Source organism: Homo sapiens, chromosome 7, assembly GCF_000001405.40.
Source record: "Homo sapiens chromosome 7, GRCh38.p14 Primary Assembly".
In the NCBI taxonomy this organism is placed as follows: domain Eukaryota; kingdom Metazoa; phylum Chordata; class Mammalia; order Primates; family Hominidae; genus Homo; species Homo sapiens.
The window spans coordinates 95,000,401-95,019,496 of NC_000007.14; the positions used below are offsets into that span (position 1 = coordinate 95,000,401).

At 35.7% G+C, this 19,096-nt stretch overlaps 1 protein-coding gene and 1 pseudogene across 43 annotated transcripts in view; one reads left to right on the forward strand and one right to left on the reverse strand.

Moving 5' to 3' along the window:
* PPP1R9A (protein phosphatase 1 regulatory subunit 9A) overlaps positions 1 to 19,096 on the forward strand; it is a 389,180-nt gene that overhangs the window by 93,165 nt on the left and 276,919 nt on the right. The window lies entirely within an intron of this gene.
* On the reverse strand, positions 17,600 to 18,038 carry HINT1P2 (histidine triad nucleotide binding protein 1 pseudogene 2; annotated as a pseudogene).

The following is a 19,096-nucleotide window of genomic DNA, read 5'->3' on the forward strand; positions in this document are numbered from 1 at the left end:
GATGTATATTAGTAGCCATTTCCTTTCTAACATTGGTACTTAGTAGTTTGATTTTTTTTTAAACAAATCTTATTTTATGTAGTAATTGATGCTTTTTCATGTACTCTTACTATAGCCTACATAATTTGAGTTCTTTTTCCTTTATTTTTTTCCTTTTTCCAGGTGAAAATTTCCTACCTATTGGAAATATAATTTGTAGTTTTTGACTGATTTATCTTATATTGATAAAAGATAGGGCATTTAGGAAGAATTTTTATGCATATTATTTTGTTTTCTCCCTCAACTTCTTTGTAAGGTAGGTGAACAGATGAGGTAAATGATGCAGATAGGCTAATCGTCTCTCTCCAAGTCACACAGTTAAGTTGCAGGGTTAGGATTCCAGGGTCATTGTTCCTTTTGCTGATTCTACACTATCTCTGAATATTCTCTTTCAAAAAAGGATACATAATCTATTTGCTTTAGTTAACGCAGAATTGACTTGCAATTTTGGTTAAAGAGAATGAAAAGGAAATCACTGTATTTAGTGGGAAAATGTCATTTCAAAGGTTGATTCTGATCTTTAAAAATTGTAATTGTAATTATCTTGTGTAGAGCCCTGTGTCTTAACATCCTCATTTAATAATTTGTTTGTCATATAAGCAGATGGTGAGAAAACAGTGATTCCCAGATCTGTCATTACTGCTGTGGTAATTTGATGTTTTATAGTTAAGAATTTTGACTGGTAGAAGGCTGATCTAGAATTCACATGTCTCTGGGGACCTGTATTGTTTGGATTTGGAGGTATACTTGTATTTGAATTCAGGGAAGGCTGTTATAAATAAGGACTTGGCTTGCATGATAAGTAACATTTCTTTATATAGCTATTCAGTTGAGCTATTGAAAGTAAAACATACAAACAAACAAACAACAATAGCAAAAAACGCTTTGTGTTGTTGTTGACAGAAAAGTTGAAGCTTTTCAATGGTGTTTTCCTCTCTCATGTCGCATAACCATGATGGTGATAAGCGTACAATTATATATAAAGGCAAAAAAGTTCAAAGTCCAGAGGTATTAAATCTTTATGGTAAATGAGAGCCTGTAAGTCATGTAATACACTAAGAAGTATGTTCTGAAAATCTTAAGAGATCCAATTGCCATGTGACTCTCACAATGTTATCCTTTATGAGGAGAATAAAAGGATGCTTAGTGTGACTTTTGCAACATCAAGCCCAGTTGAAACACAAATTTTATTTTGATTTGTGAGTCCAATCCAACCAGTTATTTTTCATTTTCCATTTACCATCATTTTGATTAGTATTTTTTGTTAATCAGTTCAGAGTTACTATTTGCAGCCCTCTGAAAGCTGGAGCCTACATTAGAAGTTTTCTAAATGTATTGAAGACAAAGCCATTTATTAAAATCTGATATTAAACTGTCACTTTCCAGAGGCATATTTGAAAAACAGAAAAACAAACAAACAAAAAAAACACAAGGGAAACCATAGAGCTCTTCCTGAGATGCTTTAATTCAGGAGTTTCTACTCAAAAAGTTAATCACTGACAAAATTCTTTGAAATGTTTTAGTGTTCGTGTGAGTGTCACAAGCCATGCTTTTTAGAAACCAGAATTTTGTAATAAGTGCTCTCTCTGCAGCAATTAAAAAGTGGCGTCATCTATGGTAAACACTAAGTTGGTCTATTGAGAGGGAAATAGCTAGCCCTTCAAAATACCTTTGTGGGAGTGAAAATTACCTTTCGTACTGAAACTTACTAACCCCCAGTGATTAAGAGGCCATTTCATGTTCAAAAACATGTTATTAAAAATAATGAGTGTGATATTTTAAGTACATGACTATTACTACAAAAATTGTAATATTATAGATTAGGATTTATTCATACACTGAAGGTCTCATATGTTGATATGAACTATATTTCATTTAAGAAGGCCTTGGGAGGAGGAGTCAGGATCATGAACAATCTGAGAGTTTATCCAAGACCTGTAAGTTATAAGAAGGAAGAGTTGAGAGGTAGCTGAGGTGGGTGTCTCCAGGTAGGACACGTGAAGATGGGAATAAGTTCAGGGGACCTGAGAAAGGTGCTTGGTGCCTAAAGTCAGAGGAAAGTCAAATTAGGGATTCCTTTTAGGGAGGTGAGGAGAGCAACTTAGACGTGATGTTGCATTTGTGAGCTTGGAACCCAGAGTTAAAAGAAAATATACAGAATTGAAAAATATTACCTGGCCTAAAATTGGAAGTAGAATGATTTCGCAGGAAAGAAAAGTGAAAGAGGAACTATCATCTCCTAGGCAAAAACAGAACAGTGTAGAGTCAGGAAGAAATCATGATTTGTCTTCAAGCTGAGATTAGTTAATTGGATGGCACAGTATAGGTGTCTAACTTACCCGTACATAGTTTACTCTCTTCAGGTGTCCTTAAACTGTGATGTAAGTGTTCATCTGAATTTACTCTGTATTTACATTCTATCCATGATGTCTGTAATAGCTATGACTATAAAAGGGAGGGCCAGCCTCATTACTCCTTGGATGGCTACACTGCAGTAGGACCCAGAGGATGTGAGTATGGGAATCTGATCCTGAGTCCTGCTGGTTGGAGAGTTGCCAGTGTCATCATAACTTGTAAAAAAAGTCCCATAAGACACTTGTAAAGGATAAGTCTTAAAGTATGTAAGAATAAATCAGAAAATTGCCTTTTTTAAAAAAAAGCTTTTTAAAAAGCTTTTTAGCTGGTGATTGTGTCTTTCTTTTCTTTAGGATTCTTTAATAAGTAATTTTAGTAAAGTGTCATTCTTAGTTGCTAAAGAAAACAGTCGTCTCCTGTTTTCAGTCATCAGATTCAAGCCTATTAGGAAAAACTTGAATAATTATTCTTACACGTCTCCATTAATATGAAGAATCATGCATAAAATGTAGTCCATGCTTATCTCTAAAATAAACAAGGAAATAAAATTTCCGGGTTCTGTTAGTTGTTAGAAAACATGGTAACTCAACTTGTTATTCTGCACCTTGGGAAAAAAATGCTTCCTTGTTGATTCCAAGTAAGATCATTTAGAAACTAAAGTCTACCATGTAGAGTATAAAAATGAGATTGTTAAGGGGATGCTCCTTTATTCTGAAAACTCTCTAATGAGGGAACAAAAATATAACCCTGGTTTTAATATTTATGTAACTTTTTGCAGAAATAATTTAAAATAGGGAGAGGTAACTTTCAATCCCAAACATAGATCAAATACTTAGTAATTTATTTGACCTATAATGCTGGTTCTCAACCCTGGCTACTCTTTACAATCACCTGGGAGCTTCTTAAAATTACCAGTGTGATCTTAACCCCAGAGATTCTGATTTATTGTTGGTCTGGGTTAGGGCCTAGGCATGGTTAATTGGATTCCTTAGGTAATTCTAATGTGTAGTCAGAATTGAAAACCACTGCCTTAGAAACACACAGTTGAACTTTCTTTTATCTTCATATGGAATCAGAAAAGTAAAGAGGAAGAAAAGGAGTGACCTGTAGATTAGCTACCCATCTGTACTTATTCTAAAAGATCAAGGTAGGGAGCAGGTGAAGGCTTGGATTTTGCACCCTTTGTACCAGAACACATGGGCCAGTGTGCAGTACTGGAAGTAAAGTTCTTGGATGTTACAGTGTGGTGGCATTTCTTGTCAGGAGAGAAGGGAATGATAGATTGTTTTAACTTTTCTTCTTCTGCTTGACTTTGAGTAAAAAGTTGAGCATCTCCTGCTTTTTTAGCATTTTAGGAAAAAAATTATTGTGCCAAGAGTATCAGGTAATCTGTCATAAAAATATATGAATGGAGCAGATCTGTGCATCACTTCAAACTAAAGATATATAAAAGCATTCCTTTGTGCTTTTTTGCTAAGCTGTGACAGCACAATCACTGGTTATTTTGTAAAGAAATTTATTTTAAAACAGTATGACGGCCAAAAAAAAGCTATTGGAAGGAGAGGAAGAGAGGACACACCTAGGTTACATTTGGCCTCTTTTAAGTCTGTGAGACATGTTTAAAAATCTTTAAAGAAAGCTTACTTTGTCACTATCCCATTTCTGCTATAATCAACATAATTATACCTTTTTAAATTAACTAATCTATGAGTACCGACTTAATGAATGAGTTCCATGTATATGGAGCTGCTTAAAGACTCTGAAAAGAATAGGAATGTCTTATTAATATCAATTCTGGATACTACGTGCCTAAATGAACCTTCTTTAGAGGGCTAATCCAGAGTACTCATGCATAGAATAAAAGCTTACTGGATAGGCTCAATAATAGAATGGATATGACTGGATATGACTGAGAGTAGATACCGTATACTGTGGTATGACTGGTGACCTGTTGGATGTCGCTGTCCTGTAGTCATTGGTTAAATATACTCCTGATGACAGATGGGTACATGCACTTCATCCAGCTTTGCTGCTGCACGTTGTCATGGTGAAGGGGAAGGACACACTACAAATGATGATTCCTTCCCACAGACTACAGTCCATATCTTAACAAAGATCTGTCGAATGTTTCCCTGTGGAAAAGAGGATTTTAATATATTTTTCTCTTGCTGACTTGAGTAAAGATTTCTGATTATCCTAGAACAGAGATAATGGAGGTAATTTTTCATGGAAAAACTATATACTTTCGTTTGTAAGCTGTTAGAATTGGCATTTTGTTGGTTGGGTGCCAGGCTGCTAGACTATGCACCACGTGGGCAGGGATTTTGTTTTGCTCAATGTTGTATTCCTGATGAAAGGTAAATGATTTTAATTTTGATAAAGTGATTTATTTACTTTTTAATTTTTTCATTTTTTCCACTTGTTATTTCACTTTGTAATTATATGATATAATCTATTTTTAGTTTTCTCCACAGGGCTAAATATGGTAACAATTTATTGTTTATTCAGGGCACTCAGTAAACTGAGGATTTGTGAATACTGTATGAATTCATTTTATAGAGAATAACAGTTTAAAAAAACTAATGACTGGAACATTAGTATTGAACTTTTGTCTTACAATAAACTTTTTAAAAAAGTTTAAAGAAAATTTTTAGAAGTTTCAAGGCATATAATCACAGATATAAAATGCATTAAGAAAACCTATTCAGAATCGCACAGATTTATTCACATTTCAAAACACTTAAATATGCAAAAAAGAAAATCCACAGAATGGTTTTAAATTACAAACTCACCTTGTGAATTTAAACCTAATTTCATTTTCAAAAGTTCAATTTTCAGCTCATTTTAGGATCATTTATATGTTGTAAAAGTGATATATACTAGCATCTGGTTATGGTCAGCACCTGCCAAGAAAGTTAATAAAGCATTTCTTTAAGATCTTTGGTTTAGAAAAATGTTCTGGCTATATTTATAGTAGCCTATATAAATAAGTGCTACAAACCTTACCACTTCACAATTTTTGTGAATTCTTTTTCTCCATTGAACAGATGCAAATAGAAAAATTAATTAGCCTTTCCCTTGTTACCAGACATAAATTATTATTCTCTTCTAAAGATACAAAAAAAAATTGATGAGAAGAATCATAGAATTTTTAGAAGTGGAAAGTATCTTAGAAGTAATCTACACTTATTTTTAGCATCTTGCTTATAGATTTCAATTTTGTAAAAACCTTAGTGGTATTTTGATGGTAGGATATTTTTATTAAGTTTTTAAATGTCTTAATGTTCTCTCTGTAGCCTTATTTGTTAATTTTTGCCAAGAATCTTTCCACAAAATCTGAATTACTTGCTTCAATTTGCACCTTTCATAAGGATTAAAATAAATTGAGATCTTAAGAACTTATTTATTTATTTATTTATTTATTTATTTATTTATTTATTTGAGATGGAGTTTCACTCTTTTGCCCAGGCTGGAGTGAAGCCGCACAATCTCCGCTCACTATAACCTCCGCCTCCCAGGTTCAAGTGATTCTCCTGCTTCAGCTCCCCGAGTAGCTGGGATTACAGGCATGCATCACCAGACCCGGCTAATTTTTGTTATTTTTAGTAGAGACAGGGTTTTACCGTGTTGGCCAGGCTGGTCTCGAACTCAGGTGATTCACCTGCCTCAGCCTCCCAAAGTGCTGGAATTACAGGCGTGAACCACCTTGCCCGGCCAAGAACATTTTTAATGCTTGTTTATATAAGAAGATATTTGGCTAGGCCTTTGATTTTTTGAAAGGAAGATCCTAAATATAAAGTGCATGACCTATTATATATTTCTGCAACACAGGAAATTAACATTTTATTTAGTAGGATAATACCTTCTGGTAAACTACTGAGAAAAAATAAAATTTACTACATTCTAATTATAAAGAGTACTTTGCCATATCCCTTACCCTTCTCAATTCTGATATGGTCTCCTGGAGGTGAGACAGGGTTTATTTGCTAATAGCCTGTTGAGCAATTCAGTTGTCTTACCATTGTCTCCTTTCCCTGCCTGATCTTTTTTCATTGAATGGCCATAATAATTTTTTTTTTTTTTGAGAGACGGAGTTTCGCGCTTGTTGCCCAGGCTGGAGTGCAATGCTGCGATCTTGGCTCATCGCAACCTCCACCTCCCAGGTTCAAGCAGGTCTCCTGCCTCAGCCTCCTAAGTAGCTAGGACTACAGGAGCACGCCACTACACTAGGATAATTTTGTATTTTTAGTAGAGACGAGGTTTTACCATGTTGGTCAGGCTGGTCTTGAACTCCCGACCTCAGGTGATCCGCCCATCTCAGCCTCCCAAAGTGCTGGGATTACAGGCGTGAGCCATCGTGCCCGGCCATAATAAATTTTTGAATGGCCATCCTAAATTTTAGGTGCCTCATTGGAGTACAGAGTTTTGCCATAGATTGTAAATTATTCTAGGGAGATATTTTTGATGCTATTGACATTTAACCCAGATAATTCTTTGTCATGGGAGACTGTCCTGTGCATTGTAGGATGTTTAGCAGCGTTCCCAGCCTCACCCCAATAGATGCCAGTGGTACCTCCTCGCCCAATTTGTGACAAATAAAAATGTCTTAAGATGACGTTGCTTGAATGTCCTCTGGAGGGCAAAATCTGCGGTTGAGAACCACTGCTCTAGGGCAAGAAGGTCTTTTGTGTTTGTATTCTCTCATTTCCCATACATATGTCTCCTCAATTGTGTTATTATGTATAAGAACCCAGTAATTTTTACTTAATTGAAATAGTAACTTTATTTTAAGGCCTGATTATCTTGTATTGAAATGGTAATTTTTATGTTATAGCCTGTATGTATCAACAAATATGTAAAAACCTGGAGAGGAAATATTGTATAATCCATGTATAGTATAAATAAGAGTTAGCTTTAGGTATCTGTTGGATCGATTTTAAATACTATCCTTAGTATTCCATATGTGGCTGTTACAAAGTTATAGAAACGAAGCTTTGTCAGGCGTGGTGGCTCACGCCTGTAATACCAGCACTTTGGGAGGCCGAGGCGGGCGGATCACCTGAGGTCAGGAGCTCGAGACCAACCTGATCAACATGGTGAAACCCTGTCTCTACTAAAAATACAAAAATTAGCTGGGCGTGGTGGTGCATGCCTGTAATCCCAGCTACTCAGAAGGCTGAGGCATGAGAATTACTTGAACCTGGGAGGTGGAGGTTGCAGTGAGCTGAGATTATGCCATTGCGCTTCAGCCTGGGGGACAGAGTGAGACTCCATCTCAAATAAATAAACAAACACACAAACAAACCAAGCTTCAGTTTTTTCTCCTGTAAAATTGAAATAATGTCTATTTTATGGTTTTATGGTAAGAAACAAATTACATGATAAATATGGTCAGCTAAGCTCAGCTGAGAATCAGATGCCTTTGGTGGGTTGTAGTTTGATGGTACTCTTCTACTCCATTTTAACATTTCTGTTATCTGATTCATAAAAGGGGTTTTTAGGGGGAAACACCTACTTGAAATCTCCCTACAATCGGCATACAGATATATATGAAGCTTTAAAATGCATTAGAGAGACTCCTTATAGATTTATCTCTATTTGCCAAGAGGAACAATGGATGAAGGAATCAGCCTTATTGTGGGATTCTGTTTTAGTTAAAGAGTAGGCTAAGTTGCAGTAACAAATCCACACTTTAATGGCTCAGTTCAGTAAAGTTTATTTCCTACTCACATGATAGTCCTTACTGCTTCAGGTTTGTTGGACATTCTTTCAGGAACATGAAGCTCCTTCTGTCTAATGGGATCACCATGTACGTTGTAAGCTTCACTGTTGTCCTCTGGTAGAAGAGGTAAACGTGTAAAAGGAGTACCACTGCTTTCCTAAAAGCAGTGGTCTGGAAGTGGGATATTTAAATTCTGCTCATATTCTATTTGTTCTTATTTGGTGAGAACTTGGTATCATGGTCACACCTACCCCATTGAAGAATGGGAGAGAGTGGAGTTTTGGGTATATACCCAAAGGATTATAAATCATGCTACTATAAAGACACATGCACACGTATGTTTATTTTGGCACTATTCACAATAGCAGAGACTTGGAACCAACCCAAATGTCCATCAGTGATAGACTGGATTAAGAAAATGTGGCACCTGTACACCATGGAATACTATGCAGCCGTAAAAAAGGTTGAGTTCATGTCCTTTGTAGGGACATGGATGAAGCTGGAAACCATCATTCTCAGCAAACTATCGCAAGGACAGAAAACCAAACACCGCATGTTCTCACTCATAGGTGGGAATTGAACAATGAAAACACTTGGACACAGGAAGGGGAACATCACACACCGGGGCCTGTCATGGGGTCGGGGAAGGGGGGAGGGATAGCATTAGAAGATATACCTAATGTAAATAAGGAGTTAATGGGTGCAGCACACCATCATGGCACATGGATACATATGTAACAAACCTGCACGTTGTGCACATGTACACTAGAACTTAAAGTATAATGAAGAAAATATATATTAAAAAAAGACTCTTGCTTTAAAGAAAGAGGTTGCTGCCTACTCTCTTGACAGGGATGATAGCATTGTTCTCTAGCATCCAGGTGTGCTGGGATTCTTAACGTCTTCGCCATCAAGATGTGGCGGTTTCCTAATGCTACCAGTGGCTAGGTAGTAGGGAAGTTTTGAGTTCCAGCTTTGATTAGCACTTCTCTAGACCCATCAGAGATGCATCCTGATGACTTGTAATGAAATGTAGAGGTCAGGAGTAATCACTGGACCCTTACAAGTGCTCCTTTGGATTTTCAAGAATACTGGGAGTTGTACAATTCTGCCAGAACTTGTGCTTCAGCAGTTTGAGCAGTTAGGGCTTAATGTTGTTAGCCAAGCAACTAGGAGCTTGGAATTATTGACAGCCAGTTGAAATGAAAGGAATAAATATATATTCATAGAGTGATGAAGTGAATTCTGGTTACTTGGCTGTAAAGAGGCAGGAATAGTGCACACAGCATATCCAGCCAGGTAAAGAGGAGGACAGGGGCAGAATGGCTTAGCAGGAAAGTAGTGTTCCTTGCCACATAGGGAAAATAGTTCCTCAGGTTTTGTAGGCTTGAGCAGCAGCAAATATTTGATTATAATAAAAATGGAACTTAGTATTAAATTATTTAATGAATGATGTGTTCTATTAAGAGCCTTTCCATGCTAGAGATCTTAGCATTTCTGGTACTGTATGTACTATTCAGAGGGTACAAACTATTCACAGTTCCAGAAATGTTAATATCAAAGAGCATTTGCCTATATATTAAATTTCATACTGGCTGGATGCTGTGGCTTACGCCTGTAATCCCAGCACTTTAGGGGGCTGAGGCAGGAGGATCACTTGAGCTTAGGAGTTTGAGGCCAGCCTGAGCAACACAGTGAGACACTGTCTCTACAAATAATGATAATAATAATAATAAAAATAGCTGGGCATGGTGGCACACACCTGTAGTCCTAGCTGCTCTGGAGGCTGAGGTGGAAGGATTGCTTGAGTCCGGGAGGTCAGGGCTGCCATGAGCTGTGATTGTGCCACTGCACTCCAGCCTGGGTAACAGAGTGAGACTCTAGACCCATCAGAGATGGCAAGAAAAAAAAAATAGCTTCCTTTAAATGCAGTCTGATTTCGGAACTTCTATTTTTCTTTACAAGTTTGATAATTATCTCTGCTTTTAAATTAAAGGAAATTCATTCTTTAAATTTTACTTGGTCTTTTTGGTTTCTGTTACTGAATTCTACTCACAATGAATTTAGTCGAAGTCTGTGTTTCTAGCGTAGTTACTCAATATTGAAAATGTATGTTAGCAAGATGGAGTAGTCCCTTATGTGGTTAGTAGGCCTTCAGGCAGTTTTTTTCCTTTTTGCCTTCACCTTTAGTTTACCCCAAAATATATAATCAAAATATATAATTTTAAAAAATTCTATATACTACTGTTTTTGAAAATTATAACTATTTGAACCAGGTACTATTGCTATAACAGATAATATTTTAAAATTTAAAGATAAACAGGAGGCTGTGTTAGGGGAGCAGTATTCTTATATTGATGTTCTGCATTTAGTTGCAGATGTTACTGTTCATAAAGATATACAAGTACCACTGATGTTGGTATTGCACGTAGAAAGTAGGTAAAAATGATAAATTGGAGTCTGCCTGACAGAATGCAGTCTGAGAGAAAACTTTTCTCTTTCAATATAATCTCTTTACATTTGGCCTAAGTTTAAGGTAACAGTGTTGCCTTTCAGAATTCAGCCTTTCTTTAAAGATATTTTTCATATCAGCATATTACATCCAAAATACCTCATGCTCAATATTATGTTATATTTAAAATGAGAATCATGCAAACATTAATATCTGAATTAAACATACCAAAATTAATTTTATTCTTTCAAATATGGAATTACAATAGAGCTTTCTTTCACAAGGTTGATTTTTAGATTATCTTACAGTAAAAGCATCTGAAAAATTTTGGCTTACTTAGTCTTTCTCGGAGTTTCTTTTTATAAGGGAATCTTGGCAGACTGTGCTCTGTTCTATGAGCTACTGATTGTAGGGGGAAATAATGATGCTATTTACTTTTGTGATTTTCTTCAAACTGAACAATCAAGTTAAAACCTAAGATAATGTTTCAAAAGTAATCACTATATATGTGGTCTTATCCTTTTATCCTTATTTTCTCTGTAAGTGATTCCTTTTCTGCTCTTCTGATTTCTTAATATTTTTCACTTTCTTCAGTTAAAATTTATTAATCACACATTTACTACTAATCAGGAATTATGAAGACTGGAATTTAAAAACTACTCTACTGGAGAGAACAACTTTCAGTTGAAATTCTTCATGGTTGGGTGACTAAAGATTCCAAAAGAGAGTGGTTTGGATGAATCAGCACTGGCTTGGAAAGGGAGCTCTTGAAATCTGCTCCACATTTCTTATGAATGACTTAGATGAAGGTACACAAAATAAATTTTTAGGGCATGAAAAGTTGAAAGGAATAGCTAATATATTGAGTAGAGAAATAGGAATTTAACATTATCACAGTGGACTGATGTGCTATGTCATGGCAAATAATATGTTATTTAATGTGAATAAATATATATGTCTGCATTAATGATATATAAAATATTCACTTAATTTCGAGGAAACAGTGCAGAAAGGTTTTAGTTGACTGCATGTTTTATATGAGCCAACAATATGATAAAGCTGGTAAAACTGTCAAAATAATAATGGACTATAGCAGTTAATAGTTTCTAAATAGTTTCCAAGAGGCCCCTGGTATTAGTCAGTTCTTGCACTGCTGTAAAGAAATACCTGAGACTGAGTAATTTATAAAGAAAAGAGGTTTAATTGGCTCATGGTTCTACAGGCCGTACAGGAAGCATAGCGGCCTCTGCTTCTGGGGAGACCTCAGGAAACTTACTGAGGTCATGGCGGAAGGTAAAGAGGAAGCAGGCTCGACTTACATGGGCAGAATAGGAGGAACAGGGAGGGGAGGTGCTACACACTTTTAAACAACCACATACCCTGAGAACTCTATTATGAGAACAGCACTAGGGGAATAGTGCTAAACCATTCATGAGAAATCACCCCCATGATCCAATCACCTCCCACCAGGCCCCACCTCCAACATGGGGGATTACAATTTCACATGATGTTTGGGCAGGGACACAGATCCAAACCATATCAAACCTGTACTCTGTTGTCTGCTCTTTAGGATACCTTTGGAGTATTTGTTTCATTCTACACTTTATATATTAAGGAATAATTGGATATCCGTAAGATGAACAAGATCATGCTTTTAGGAAGAGATACTTTATTTGGAGGGAATGCATGAGAAGTCTAGAGAAGGACTTCTCAATTCTAGGGAACCTGATCTGGAGAAAAGATTTCTGACAATGAGCATAAAATTATTCCACCTTCTTATAAAAGGCAGGACTAGGATCACTGAGTATATAGAAATTTTAGGGAAGTAGATTACATTAATATGTAATGATGTGAAAAGTTGGAATCACTCAATATGGATTGATTGGGCTGCCTTCACAAAGTGAGTCCTTTCCCTGTCAAGCTAAATGGCAATTTGTCTAGATTATTATTGTAAAGAGGGGATTAATTTACTAGCGGGATGGGATGACTTCTCTGGCCCCTTCCATTTTTTTTGTATATGTAGTAGGTTTTATTGAAGAGTTGGGAAGTTTTTGTTTTTGTTGTGGACCCCTTTGAATTCACATTATTCCTCAAAGTATGAATTGGGAAAGAGGTTGGTGTTGGAATTGTAACAGGCTTCATGATACATGCAGACTCACTACCCATGCCACTTGACCATTTTTAATCTTGTGAGCCTTTGTCATTTTCACTGCATAAGAAATTAACCAACTGATGGTTTTATTTGAAGGATAGGGGTTTACCGATGGGGCAGTCTCATTGTTTTACTGATATATATATGGGAATATAATTCCTAGACATTCATAACCTTAATTCAGTATGGTAAAGTTTAGTCAATTTTTAATTACTGTATATTCTTCCCATCCATTTACACAGTTCAGTGGTTTCCTTCCTTCATTCATATTCCTTAAATAGTTTTTGTTCCATGGACTATCATTTTTTATTATATAGTTTCTCTGTCCCTGCTGATTGCATTAGTCTAGTACTAGCAAACAGAGGGTTATCCAAATGTTTAAGAACTAAACCAGAGTAAGATGATATACAAGTAATAGATACTTTTCTGCAAATTTCACCAAATCTTTTCTGTGTAGTCATTGAAGAGACTCCTACCTGACTGCTGTTGTAGTGGGACAGATTTTGATCCCCAGTTTAGTAACATATACTTTTTTCGTTCATTTGGAAATAATTAGTGCTTGTGCTTATTAATTAAGAAATTATTTAGTTTGGTTTGCTACCAGTGCAAAAAGAAATTTTTCAGTTCACATTTAAAAGGTAGAAGTGATTTAAAAATTATTAATATTGCAGCCCTTCTCAAATCTTTCACTTGATCAACAAGTTTTTAGCATTTTCTCTTTACTTTTCTAACTTTTTGTTTTGAAATAATTTCAGATTTAAAGAAAGATTGTAGAAAGAATTACAGATAATTCTCATGTACTCATAACCCAGATTTCCTAAATGAAAAATGGAAACATTTTATCATAGTTGTTTTCTCTGCCTTCTTCTTTTTTCTTTTTGAACTATTTGAGATAAAGTTACAGTCATGATTATGTTTTTATCCCCAAATACTCAAGTATGCATTTCCTAAAATCAGGAACATGGTCTAAAACAACCATAATGCATTGATCAAAGTCAGAAACTTAACATTGATACAGTACTTTTATTTATTTAATCTGTATCCTTTATTCAAATTAGACCCGTTGGCCCAGTAATGTCCTTTATGGGAAAACAAAAGAAGTCTGATTTAGAATCTGATCTAGGCTCAGACATTAATTACATTTAGACATCATGTCTCCCTTAATTTGGAAGAGTTCCTTATTTTTTCTTCGTCTTTTATGATACTGACATATTTTGAAATGTGTAGGCCAGTTAATTGATAAAATATTCATAAGCTTGGGTTTATCTGCTCTTTCCTCATGATTAGCTTTCAATTTATGCAGTCTTGGCAGGAATACTGTGGAAGTGTTTTTGTTTTCTTTTCAGTGCATCAGATCTGGAGACACATTATAAAGATTTGTCCAATTATTGATTATATTAACTTTGATCATTTTGTTAAGGTGGTTTCTCCACTTTGCCAGTTTGTCCCCTATGAAGTTATTATTTTATCCTTTAATAAATATCTTGTGTGAAAATACTTTGAGACTTTGTAAATATCTATTTCTCATCAAAGTTAAATGCTCTAGTTTTAGCACCTGTTGATTCTTGCATGACTGAAGCACTACTGCTTTAAAAAAAGCATTACTATGATAGTTGTAAAATGATTTTTCTCATCCTGTCACTTCCGTATTTACTAATTGTCATTGTACTGTAAGGAAGAAGTTTCCTTTCTCATTTGCTTACTGACTTATTTATTTATATTAGCATGAACTCATGGATTCTTATCTTAATCTATGAGTTAAAATCCATTACTGTGGTTTAGTGTTTTGCTCGAATTATCCCAGATTTGGCCTATTGGAACCTTTTCTGGATGGTTTCTGTTTCCTGTTGAAAAATCTCCATGATTCCTTGAATTCTTCTTTATTCTGTGGCACAAAAAGATATTCTAGACTCATTGTATACGGATCTCTTCCTGTCTAGGAATAATCCATTTTTCCAAGGAGCTATAGTTTCTTTTATTTGAATATAATTTTTAGAAACCAGGACCTGGGCACTTCATGTGAAAATTTATAATGGATTATCATTGCTTCTAGTTGCTCTTAGTGGGCAAACATAAAATATATATGTACACACACGAATATATATATACACACACACACACACACACATACACACACACATACATATACATATATATCTGTTTCTGTGTTGATCTATCTATATTTAAAAATCTACAGTGTGTAATGCTATTTATCATTGCCACAACTTAATGTCTACACAGAATGATAGGAAGCTTTATCAAATATGTCTTTATTTTGCTTTCATTTGTAAGGATTATTTTCACTGGATATAGAATTCTGAATGAAATCTCACTAGATAGGCTTAATAATAGAATGGATGTAACAGAGGAAAGTGTCAGTGAACTAGAAGATAGATCATTAGAAATTATTGTGTCTGAAAAGTAGAGATAAAAGATTGAGAAAAAATGAACAGAGTTTCATGGACCTGCTGAATAATATCAAAATTTATGATGTTAATATAATTAGACTCTTAGAGAAGAGAGACTGACAAGGAAAATATGTTTGAAGAAATAATGGGTGAAAAGTCTTGTAAATGAAGAGAAAGTCACATTTAATGATTCAAGAAGGTCAGTGAACACCAGTTAGGATAAGTACAAAGAAAATCTAGGTGATTTATGGTGGCTCATGTCTGTAATCCCAGTACTTTGGGAGGCTAAGGTGGGAGGATTACTTGAGGCCAGGAGTTTAATAATATCCTGGGCAACATGGTGAGACCCCTGCCTCTACAAAAAATAAAAAAAATTAGGGCAGGCATGGTGGTGTGTGCCTGTAGGCCTAGCTACTCAGGAGACTGAGGCAAGAAGATCTTTTGAACCTAGGAGTTCAAGGTTACAGTGAACCATGATTGCGCTACTGCACTTCAGCTTGGGCAACAGTAAGACCTAAGACCCTGTCTCTAAAGAATAAGAAAGAAAATCTTGCCTAGATAGATTGTAATCAAGCTGCTGAAACCACAGATGAAAACAAAGTCTTAAAACAGAGAAAAATTACTTATCATATACAATGGAATAATGACTTAAATGACCACAGATTTCTCATTGGAAATCATGGGGGCTAGAGACAGATAGATGAAGAAAAAAAAGTTATCAATATCAGGAATGAAAAGGGGGATATATAATAGTACTACAGACATTAAAAGGATAATTAGAGAATACAGCAACAGTCTTATGCCACACATTTGACAATGAGATGAAATAAATAAATGTTTTGAAAATTTCAAAAATTGCCAAAACCGGATAAAAACATTGAAAAGCTGGTAATTATAGACAAAAATCTATCATGAATGTAAATGCAAGAATCTTAACAGAATATTAGTAAATCAAATGTAATAATATATAAAAGGATAATACATGCCTAAGTAGAAGGTATCCTAAGAATACAAGGTTTATTTAACATCCTAAAGTCAATCAGTGTAATTAAAAAAAGAAATGAATCTCATTATTATTTTGGTAGATGCATTTAAGGCCTGTGACAATAATCCATTTATTAAAGAAAAATTAGGAAATTCTTCAAACTCTGCACACCTAGGAAGAATCTGTAACTCATATTTAATGGTGAAAGACAGAATCTTATTCCCCTGAGAATAAGAACAAGACAAGGATGCCTACTTTCGTCCACTTCATTCAGCATTGTAATGGAGGTCCCAGCCATTGTAATAAGGTATGTGTTATGGATTGAATCGTGTACCTCAAGAAGTTATGTTGAAGTCCTAACCTCTGGTACCTTTCAATGTATTCTTATCTGGAAATAGGGTCTTTGCAATGTAATCAAGTTAAAATGAGGCCATGCTGATTTAGGGTGGGTCCTAATCCAATATGACTGGTGTCCTTATTAGAAGAGAAGAGACGCAGTGGGAAGACAGCCATATGAAGATGGAGACAGATACTGGAATTATATTCCCTCAAGCCAAGGAACTTCTAGGACAACCAGAAGCTAGAAGAGGGAAGGAAGAATTTTTTCCTAGAGGCTTTGGAGGGAGCATGGCCCAGTAACACCTTAATTTTGGATTTCTAGCCTCTAGAACTGCAAGATAATAAATTTTTGTTGTTTTAAACCAAGCAGTTTGTGGTACTCTCTGGGAAACTGAAATATAGCAAGTAAAAGAAATGAAAGGAATAAAGATGGGGAAATGAGAAATAATACTGTTACTGTTTACAGATGTTATGATTATTACATGAAAATATTTTAGGAACCCTATAAAACAACTACTAGAACTAGTAAGTGAATCTTCATAATTGCAAACTACAAGGTTAATATACTAAAATTGGTGCATTCATTTATCCTAACAGCGTACTGTTGGAAAATGAATTTTAAAAGAATCCCGTTTATAATAGCACCAAAAATCATAAAATACTTGGGTATAAACAAAACAAAGATGTCTAAGACCCCTACACTGAAAAATACAAAATGTTGCCAATAGAATAGGAGGGTAGAAACTGAGAAGCTGATTATAAAAACTATGTGGAAGTTAAAAAGGACCTGGAATAACCAAAGAAGTTTAAAAAAAAGAAGGTTGGAGGACTTATCCTACCTGATTTGAAGAACTAATATAAGGCTACAATAATCAACACATTTTGGTATGATGAAATTATACACGATAGAGAATCTAAAAGTAGGCCCACACATATATGATCAATTGATTTTTTTAATAGATGTACCTGTTCTAAGACAAATTCTTGTGGTTCTCTGACATTTCTACACATCTTTTGAGCAAGATGCATTGGCATGTTTGTTCTAGACTATCTTTCCAAAGACATTTGTATAGTAAACTTGCTTGGGAGATTGAGATAGTGCCTTTCTCTGGGAGAAGAGTCTGGATTTGTTTTCTTTTATTTTTAACCATGCAACAATAGCTTATTATGTATGGGTTTTAAAGGTTTCAAAAATTATTTCCTGAATCTCTCCATACACAGGCAAAAATAAATGTGCTATTTAACATATTGGAATGTGCAAACTTAATCATTGCCTAGAGAAGGGAAAATTATCCCCAAAACATGCTTAACCAGGAGGCTGATTCATCTGCTGACTCCAAGAACATGAAGATGAACATGATAGACAGACTGTCCACCATCTGAATGTTCATTCACCACCCATTCATTCAGTAACCCTTACTCAGGCCCAGATGAGCAGCACATTTCTTGCCAACAATCATTAAATGTCCAAGAAGGCTCTCGTTATCATCTTCTGCAGCAGAAATCTGGGATATGTTTCTTGTGTATCACTAGAAAATGTGTTGGAAGAGGCCAAGATGGCAGATGACATCACTAAGGCTCATGTCGTTTGGCCTGGTGACAACACAATCTTTGGGAATATTTTCCACAAAGAAATCCCAGCTAAAATCACTTTTAAGTATGACTAGTATCTTGCTTTCCATGACATTTTCCCTCAAGCGCTAACAGGAGGGAGGAACTGGATTTGTTTTCTGACCACGATAGTAAGCATAATGTCTTCAACTTAGGCAAAGCCTGGGTAGGGTTGCTAGCAGCCACTGTGTAAGAGTGAGTGTTTGCTAAGTTTATGGTTCCTCAGTTGTGACACTGACCCGCTGTGTGCCAGCCTTCATCTGACCTTGCTTCTGCATTTCCCTGTGGGCGTTGGTGGTTAAGGAGGACCAATGCAAACATGAAGCTCTTACTGCCTGACGTGCTGAGAGTAATAAGGTGCTTTGTCTCTGATTCAGGTGTCTTGGGTCTTCTGCTGGCATGAGGGAAGCCATTGCGGGCTAACTTGTAGCTTGCAAGTAGGGTAAAATCTCAGACCCTTCATGGTTCTTGACATTACCAAGGTAATTAAAAGGGAAAAGGAAAATCTTTTCAGAAATGGCACCATATTAACTGGATATCCATCTGGAAAACAATTAACATTAACTCTTAACTTCATACCAGACATAAAAATTTGATTGGATCATAGACCAACATGTAAAACTTAAAACCATACTACTTAGAAAAAATAGGCTGGGCGTGGTGGCTCACGCCTGTAATCCTAGCACTTTGGGAGGCCAAGGCAGGCAGATCACTTGAGGTTAGGAGTTCGAGACCAGCCTGGCTAACATGGTGAAACTCCATCTCTACTGAAAGTACAAAAATTAGTTGGGTGTGGTGGCAGGCGCCTGTAATCCCAGCTGAGGCACAAGAATCAATTGAACCCATGAGGTGGAGGTTGCAGTGAGCCCAGATCGCAACACTGCACTCCAGCCTGGGCGATAGAGCGAGACTCAGTCTCAATTAAAATAAATAAATAAATAAAGTAACATATAACTTAAAATCTTCACCGTTGGGGCATGACACAGTAAGGTCACATCACAAAAAAGCAAGAATTGAAGAAAACATTTCCAAA